This window comes from Homo sapiens, chromosome 5 (genome assembly GCF_000001405.40).
Source record: "Homo sapiens chromosome 5, GRCh38.p14 Primary Assembly".
Classification (NCBI taxonomy): domain Eukaryota; kingdom Metazoa; phylum Chordata; class Mammalia; order Primates; family Hominidae; genus Homo; species Homo sapiens.
Genome location: NC_000005.10, coordinates 79,458,148 through 79,467,694, shown reverse-complemented (window position 1 = coordinate 79,467,694; position 9,547 = coordinate 79,458,148). Strand labels below are relative to the sequence as shown.

Sequence of the window (9,547 nt, the reverse complement as noted above, 5' to 3'; positions counted from 1 at the left end):
GTTTGTTTTGAGCAATTTAAAATATTCACAATAATACAGGGAATACTATACACATATCCACTTTTCAAATTTCACAAATGTTAACATTTTGTTCAAGTATCTCTGAATCTTTCTCTTCAATCCTGAGTTTACTTATTAGAATATTTATTTGTTTAGATATTATATGGACTGAACATCCACTCATTTAGTTTGTAGCAAGTAGAAAAGTGTACCTTAGAGTATTATGATTGTTCGTTGAAGGTGATATTAGCACTTAAATGGCCTTTATAGCATTTCATTAGTTTTTTTTTTTTTTTTTTTTTTGAGATGGAGTTTCACTCTTGTTGCGCAGGCTGGAATGCAATGGTGCAATCTCGGCTCACTGCAACCTCAGCCTCCCAGGTTCAAGCCATTCTCCTGCCTCAGCCTCCTGAGTAGCTGGGATTACAGGCCCCTGCCAGCACGCCCAGCTAATTTTTTTATTTTTAGTAGAGACATGGTTTCACCATGTTGACCAGGCTGGTCTTGACCTCAAGTGATCCGCCCGCCTTAGCTTCCCAAAGTGCTAGGATTACAGGCCTGATCCTCTGCGCCCAGCCTAATTCATTTGTTTTTAAAGTTTTTAAGGCCGGGCACAGTGGCTCACACCTGTAATCCCAGCACATTGGGAGGCCGAGGCAGGCAGATCACAAGATCAAGAGATCGAGACCATCCTGGCCAACATGGTGAAACCCTATCTCTACTAAAAATACAAAAATTAGCCAAGTGTGGTGGTGCACACCTGTAATCCTAGCTACTTGGGAGGCTGAGGCAGGAGAATTGCTTGAATCCAGGGGGCAGAGGTTGCAGTGAGCCGAGATTGTGCCACTGCACTCCAGCTTGGTGACAGAGTGAGACTCTGTCTAAAAAAAAAATAGTTTTTAAGAACTGGATGTCTATTGGGAAATCACTTAGATTTTTAATAAAACGCCAGGAGTTTAACCTATTTGGCAATAGGTCAAATAGTACTACCTATATTAACAATAATTAAATTCTAGTTATTAACAAGAGATTACTTTCTTTAGATTTCCCAGGCATATACTGTCAGTTCTCAGAATTTAGCTTGAGTTAGTGGAAATCATTTGGGAAGAGGAGAATATTTAAAGTCAAGTAAAATGGAATGTGCCATATCAATTCTAATTGTAATTTATTTATTATTATTATTATTATTATTATTTTTGAGACAGGGTCTCCTCTGTTGGCCAGGCTGGAGTGCAGTGGCACGATCTCAGCTCACTGCAGCCTTGACTTACCTGGCTCAGGTGATCTCTCCTGTCAAGTAGCTGGGACCACAGGTGTGCGCCACCATGCCCGGCTAATTTTTTGTAGAGATGGGGTTTCCCCATATTGCCCAGCTGGTCTTGAACTCCTGGGCTCAGGCAATCTGCCTGTCTCAGCCTCCGAAAGTGCTGGGATTACAGGTATGAGCCACCACACCCAGCCTAAAAATGTAATTTTAAATGTGATCTATCAGGCATACTTGATATATTTTTAAACACTGAAATTTTACCTGAAATGGATGGGGTTTTTAATGGGTGGTAAGGACAAAGTCACTTGGCAGTTATTTAATACATACCAAGCAAGTTTCTTTGAACATTGAAGATGTTGCTTAAATGTGCATTGAATGAGGTTGCTTGCTTTTTACTCTGAATTTCAGCATATTCCTTAATACTTTATAGCTACTTATTAAAGTGGCCAAGAGTAAGTACTAAAATCTCTTAATAACTAATACCATGTCCTATAGATTATAAAAACTACTCTTAAAGTAAGAGGTGACATATAAGAAATGTAAACAGTAGCTCACGCCCGTAATCCCAGCACTTTGTGAGGCTGAGGCCGGCGGATCACGAGGACAGGAGATCGAGACCATCCTGGCTAACACGGTGAAACCCCATCTCTACTAAAAAATACAAAAAATTAGCAGGGTGTGGTGACGGGTGCCTGTAGTCCCAGCTACTCGGGAGGCTGAGGCAGGAGAATGGCGTGAACCTGGGAGGTGGAGCTTGCAGTGAGCCAAGATTGCACCACTGCACTCCAGCCTGGGCGACAGAGCGAGACTCTGTCTCAAAAAAAAAAAAAAAAAAAAAAAAAAGAAGAAATGTAAACAGTACTGTTACTCTTTAAGTGTATTTTTATATAATTTAAGAATCTTAATTTCCAAATGGAAATTTTAGATTTGATATTTTCTTCAAATACATCAATTAAATACTTAATGTCATGAAAATATTTCTGATAACTATAATGCAAACAATTATTTTTTAAAACCTTTAATTTCAGTGTTCACCCAACAGATTAAAAGATCAAGGAATTCAGATCATACATTTTTTTTTCTTTTTTAAAGAGACAGGGTCTTGCTCTGTCACCCATCCTGGAATGCAGTGGTGTACAATCATAGCTCGCTGCAGCCTCCAACTCCTGGGCTCAAATGATCCTCCTGCCTCATCCTCTTGAGTAGCTGAGACTATAGGCATGTGCCACCACAGCCAGCTAATTTTTAAATTTTTTATGGAGGCGAGGTCTTGCTGTTGGCCAACCTGGTCTGGAACTCATGGGCTCAAGCGATCCTCCCGCTTTGGCCTCCCACAGCACTAGGACTACAGAGGTGAGCCACTGTGCCTGGCCAGATCATACAATTAAAAAAAAAAATCCTTCCAGAAGTCTCGATACTTCTATTATAGCAAGGTTACTTTACAATTTTGTATTTGCTATAGAGTAACTTCCAGGTTTTAAAAAACATGCACCTGCTATATTTTTGGTTCATCACTAGGTGGAGTTGTTGCAGTATAATTATGTGTTGGGTAGCCATTAGCAGAAAAACCTTTGCATTCTTCAAAGTTCGTATATGGTTTTTAAAAAAGAACATTGTATGTATAAGCAATCAGCTTATTACACATATCATGGCATAGGGACATACAGTTGGTAGTATGTTATATTATGCAGTCATAATCTCTGAGCAGCATCAAAACAGGTATCTTAATGAGATTTTTCATGGGGTAGGATATATGTATGAGAAAGAGAGGAGGTGGTGAGATTTAAACCAGTTCCCTGATAATCGTGTGGAGTTTCAATTTATATTATTAAGTTGTACAGGATAATTCTTTCTAGGAAATTCCAGTGCTTGAGCTGCTGCATCCAAAGTCATGCTATGCCACTTCATAGTGGCACTGAAACTAAATTCTCCAGCCATTACCTATCAAGTTAAATGGTAATTAGTGTCCGTCTATTCCTGGACTTATCCTTGTCATTCTCATTTTGGCCTGAACAAGTATTGTTCAGCTTCTCTTGCCACTTCAGTCACCCAAAAGCAAGCTGAGGGTAGAATGTTTTTTGTCTTACTTTCCTGTTTACTTCAAATCAAGGGGGATGTTTTTGTCGGGAATTGGATGTACCTTCAGCACCTGTAGTCCTACAGTTAGGCATGTTTGGATTTCGCTCCTCTCCTACTTTCCCTTATTCCTCTCAGTTGAGTTCCAACCTGTTAAAATTGTCATTCTTTGATTCTTTGGCAGTCTTCAAAAATGGCCCCTAAAGCATTATTTTCCATCGTTAATTGTTATGTAAGTGTAATTTCTTCACAGTGCCATTTTAGAAAGATATTTTAATACCTATACAAGGTTAAGAAAAATTAAACAATACCTAAAGGATAAGAAAGCGAAGTAATTGAGCCCCATCCCCAGAAGCAACTACTTTTAAAAAATGTAATTTTTATTTCTTTTAGTGGTTGCCTCCATAGCTCTAATAAGCTCTTATATTACTATTTTTTTAATTGAAAGCTTTGGATTTTAAATCCTTATTGCAGAAAGTCAACTAGTGGTGAATTTTTGCCAGTTCCACATTTACCTTTCCATTTCTTCCTCTTCCCACCCATCTCAATGCAGTTATTCTTATAAATTGCTCTGTTGGTTCTACAATTTTAAATGGGGACCCCAAAATCAAATTGTGTATACTGTGGGGTGGTGTTATGAAGTGAATGAATGACCAGTGTGTAGCTTGTATAGTTCTGAACTGCCACCAATTACAGTATTGGGGGGGCATGTTAGTGCAGAGTTTATTGTAAGTAAGCCTCTTTCCTCAGTTTTCATTTGCATAGTTTTTTAAATGACAACTGTTTGAAACAATTAGCAAACGTATTATCATATAGAAGCCTGGAGATAAGGTGATTTGTTGGTCCAGTGACATCATCAAGGAACCAGAGTCTTTGTTTTTCCGTATGCTATTATCGACAGAGAATGTTGGCTTTGGTCTCAGGTATGCGCCCCTCACAGCACTAAGGGTTTCTTTAGGTCCTGATGTCACATGCAAACATACCGTTTCAGAGAATATTCCTTCTTACATGTGTACTGTCTGTGAGTGTACCTAGAAGTTTCTAGCAAACTTTTCTTGGTTATTTCTTGGAATTGTTTCAGAGGTCCATTCCTAACCCAACTTCTGGCAAGAATGGGATTGCCATGATTATCCTTAGCGAAGCTCACAGTCATATGGAAGAGGGTAGAGTATCTGAGGTTTGTTGGGGAGCAGCAAGGAAGAACAGTTGGTAGATAGTCAGCGAACAGGGTCTGCAGCAGAGTCAAATCCTCAGTGGAAAATATTACCAGCCTTATTTCTAATACTTCTTAGAATACTTAGAATACTTTCAGGCTACTTTCTTTTGGAAAATTAAAAAGAAAGGAAATTATTTGAAACCATAACCTTCTTTATAATCTCCTTTGCTGCAGTAGCCATTTGTACTTACATATCTGAAAAGGATACTTCTAAGCTAGGCATTAAAGGTATACCAGGAAATGTACAATTTCTCTTCCTTTCCTTGAGTTTGATTGTATTTATTGGACCTATGCCTTTGCACTCTCTTGGGATGAAGATTTACTGGTTAATCATATAATATTTTTGAAAGTATAGACTTCATTGGTAACTGTAAAACAGCATCATCATTGATTTTTAAAAATCAGAGCTATCCAAGTGATGAATGTTAACTGTCTGCTTTTTTTCTAGACCAAAACTTATGTATCTCCTGGAAAATAGTTTTTTGTTTTGCTCTAGTTTTTTTATGATCCTCGTTTCTTTCTTATTACGCAGATGCCTGAGAGCTAAATGTAGTAATTCTTTATGTCAGCTCTAGTGAGTTTGAGTAAGTCTTGTTTTTAAAATAAAATTCTGATTTTATTACTTTTTTCTCAGGGTTATCTTAACATTCTTCCAGTTTTCCACATCCATAGTAAGTTTTAGCATCCATCACTGTATGTAGTACTTTTAAAGAATTGTAGCTCAAGATGAAGAACTTGAGAATTATTGTTACACCAATTTCCTAGAATTCGTTTATGAATCAACAGAAAAATACTCCAGTAAGCTTTTCTTATGTCAGTAAAGTAGTTTGAATTACTTACTGTTCTGGTTATTCATGTAAGAAGTTACCGAATAGATAGTGCTCTATGATTAAAGTGTGTGTGTTTTCTGGTTTTTTTGTTTGTTTGTTTGTTTTTGAGATGGAGTCTCGCTCTGTCGCCCAGGCTGGGGGTGCAGTGGCGTGATCTTGGCTCACTGCAACCTCCGTCTCCTGGGTTCAAGTGATTCTCCTGCCGCAGCCTCCTGAGTAGCTGGGATTATAGGCATGCGACACCGTGCCTGGCTCATTTTTGTATTTTTAGTAGAGATGGGGTTTTACCATGTTGCCCAGGCTGGTCTCAAACTCCTGACCTCAAGTGATGAACCCACCTGGGCCTCCCAAAGTGCTGGGATTACAGGCGTGAGCCACTGCGCCCGGCATGGATCTATTTGTCTTTAAAATTGATTTTTAGAGCAATTTTTAAAGAGTAATTTTTAGTTTCTTAGAAGAGTTACTTTGAGTGTTCTTAACAAGTACCCGTTTAAGAAATAATACTGTAGTCGTTACTGAATAAGGCTTGAATTTTATATTATAAATATAATTAGTAATATCAGTAAAGATGGTAAGCTATCCAGACCAACTTTCAGTGAGATATTTACCTCAGAATTTGTCTTTTGATTCTCATAGCCATAAATATAAATCCTAGGAGATGTAAATATATTACATGAAAGAGTTCTGAGGTCAAATAATCTGCCAGATGCTGGATTATTTGGTGTTAGATTGGTTTCTTTACCGCAGAACTTCTCAGAACCTTTAACATGCTAATGTACGTTATAAATATTTTAGAATATAACACAGTGTTTGCGAAACTTGTTTGAACATGGACCATTCATTTCTCAGACTGTTGTTCAATATAAACACACTTCGGGAAATGCTGGTGTTTGATCCAGTTAGTATTTGTGTGAATTGTTGTAAAGAAAGCAGTGTCTAACCTTTATTTATGAGTTTTATACAGTTTATGAAAAGATATTAACTTTGATACCTGGACACTTGAACAATCAATTTCAAATGTATTACAGGTCTTTTTAAGAGATTAAGAGCTAGATTTTTAAGATAGCTTTTTAAGAGTTCAGTTATATGTAAATCTCTTAAAGATTTTAGATATAGCTTCTCTACTGCCTCTTCTACAGCTTTTTTCTAAATGGAAATTACGGACATGCTTAGTATTGAAACATACCCATCATAAAATCTGGTGATTCCCCAAACTCTGCATGCCAGCCTGGTTTTCTCTGAGCTCCAAACAAGTGTTTTTAAGTTCCTGGCCCAAGAGTTCTACATCCAAACCCTGTAGGCATCTGAACTCCTTCAAAACTGACTTCATCTTCCCCTTCCACTTCCCCAATCTTAGACTTTACTTTCTGTGGCCCATCCTTGCTAGTGGGACTGTCTTCTTTTCAGTTACCCAAAGTAGAAACCCAGGAGACTCAGATTCCTTCTTTGTCTTATACATCAGGAGTTCTCAACCTTGGCACAATGAACATTTTGAGCTGGAAAATTTTTTGTTGCGGAAAGCTATCTTGTGCATTGTAGATGTTTAGCGGCGTTCCTGGATGCTACCCACTAGATGCCAATAGCAGTTTCCCTCATTGTGACAGCCAAAACTGTGTCCAGACATTGTGAAATGTCCCGAGGAACAAACCCACCCCAGTTTGGGAACCACTGCCCTATATCCAATCTATTACTTATCTGCTGATACTGCTTCCTAAATTTACCTTTAATCCTTTATCACATCTTCATCCTGTTCCCTAAACTCCTATCCTCTTTGTTAATATTTGCGATTCTTTAGTAAGGTTCTGACTAGTCTCCCTGTGTCCAGTATTTCTCTCCAACCCACCTCCTTTTTATTGCTGCCAAATTTTGTGCATGTATATGAGAAGGTCTGGCTCTGTCACCCAAATTGGAGTGCAGTGGCATGATCTTGGCTTACTGCAACCTCTGCCTCCCACCCCAGCCTCCCAAGTAGCTGGGACTACAGGTGTGCACCACCACGCCAGACTAATTTTGGTTTTGTCATGTTGCCTAAGCTGGTCTCGAACTTGTGAGCTCAAGTGATCAGCCCAGCTTGGCCTCCCAAAGCACTGGGATTACAGGTGTGAGCCACCACACGTGGCCCAGATTTATCTTTCTAAAATGCAAAGCTGGAGCTGAGCTAGGTGGCTTACTCCTGTAATCCTAGCAACTCGGGAAGCTGAGGTGGGAGGATTGCTTGAGGCCAAGACTTCAAGACCAGCCTGGGCAATATAGTGAGAACCTATCTGTTAAAGAAAAGAAAGAAAGAAAGAAAAAAGCAAAACTATTTCGTGTTTATAATCTCTCAATAGCTTTCAGTAGACACCCTCATGAACTGTCTTCTCTCTTTTTTCATTCTCTATTTTTTCATTCTAGCCTCATTCTTCAAAGGCACTCAAACTTACCTGTACTAAGGTTCTTGCTACACAATGTACTTAGCCCTCCTCCCACTGTGCAACAGTTTGTTTCAAACTCTATTTAGGCATCTGTTTTCTATCATAGCTGTCAGTTACTTATTTTTAGAGAATCTATCGTAGTGAAGAGCATTTTGTTTTTAACATATCCATCTTTTGTCACCAAATTGAATTTTTCAAGGGCAGGGACCATCTGGATCCTACATCTTGGCATATAATAGATATTCAATAAAAGTTTGAATCATTTATTAGTATGCCCTGTCAGATGCAGTAACATCCTCATTACTTCTAGGAATTCTGTTCCCTGGATCTGTAGTGAAAATTATTTCCCTAGTCTTTATCATATAGACTTTGAAGTACAGGCTTTTGACCACAGAAATCTTAAACTATAATTTTCTTTAAAAAAACCAGCTGTTCAGAAGAGAATTAAAGAAAGCTATGTATTTAGTTGATATTCAAATGGCATTTGCTTATACAATAGCTAGCTTAAAGATTTTTATTCTGAAAGGAATTAAATTGTGTGGATTAATTAAATGTATGACTCAATATGATGTAGAAAGTCTTTACCGTACTGAAAACATTGCATTTCCATTGAGTAAGGATTTGTTGATTGGTTGTAGAAAGCTTGCAAAAGCAACGTTATTATCTTAATAACTAATTTACTATTTTAGAAAAGATGTTTATTAGAACACATTCTTATAATCACCAACTTGTGTTATTTAGGTGAATTTAGGAAACTTAACCCCTACCAAATGAAAACAACAAAAAAATCAAGTAATCGAGTTAGTAAAGAATAGTGTCTTACCTCCCTTCCTTATGTGCCTTAATAGAGTTGTGTATGATTAGATGTCCCTGTGACTTGTAACTAGCCACTCCCAGCCTGACCAACAATACTTTTACCTCAGACTTTAATTAGAAGGTGAAAAAAGAAAAATAGGGGTTGCAGGGGTTTTGGAAGATAACCCAAGCTTATAGCACCAGCCTCACTGAAAGTCAATGGTTGAGGATGGGGAAAGAGGGAATGAATAAGACGTATTCCCAATTCAGAGTTCATCATCCTGGTACAGTGTTTTGCCAGATTGTTAATAATTATTAAATGAATCCATATATAGTGGCAGTTAAACAAGAAGTAATGGCTCCACTTCATTTTTTAGGGAGTGGCACAAAATATATCACTTTCTTTTAAGAGAGATTCTTTAATAAGAAAAGTTGTATAGGAGGTTTCCAGAAATAAAACTAGGAAAGTGCCAGGTTACCTACAGGGAAGGTACCTCACTTTCACACCAACTCTCTAAGGGTTGAAATGGATATAGGAGTCACCCAACCTTTTATTAACCTTAAGAGCCATTTTGCCGTGGACTCAGATTTGCCTTGCCGTTTTTCTAATTTTTCTCCTCTCCATATTTACTCTTCCTTTCTTCAAATTTAAAATTTTAGAAATTTTAAAATTCTTCATAATTTTAAAATTAATTTACTTAATATTAAATATTACCAATTAAAATTTTCTTTATGACATTGAACTGCTTTAGAAAAGAAAGATGTGCAGTGAAATGAAATAAATGAGTTTTATTTGGGCTCTTAAAAAAACAAGCTTGATAAATGCTGCTTCCAAGATAATTTTTACTCAGAACTTGGAAATTTTTGAATTACGATGCTTCTATTATATATAGATCATCTTATGCCTGTTGTTCATACTGTAAAGAATTCTGTAATGATATTTTAAACA

General features: G+C 37.6%; 1 protein-coding gene across 5 annotated transcripts in view; it reads left to right on the top strand.

Annotated features, from left to right (window-relative positions):
- HOMER1 (homer scaffold protein 1) overlaps positions 1-9,547 on the top strand; it is a 141,499-nt gene that overhangs the window by 46,440 nt on the left and 85,512 nt on the right. The window lies entirely within an intron of this gene.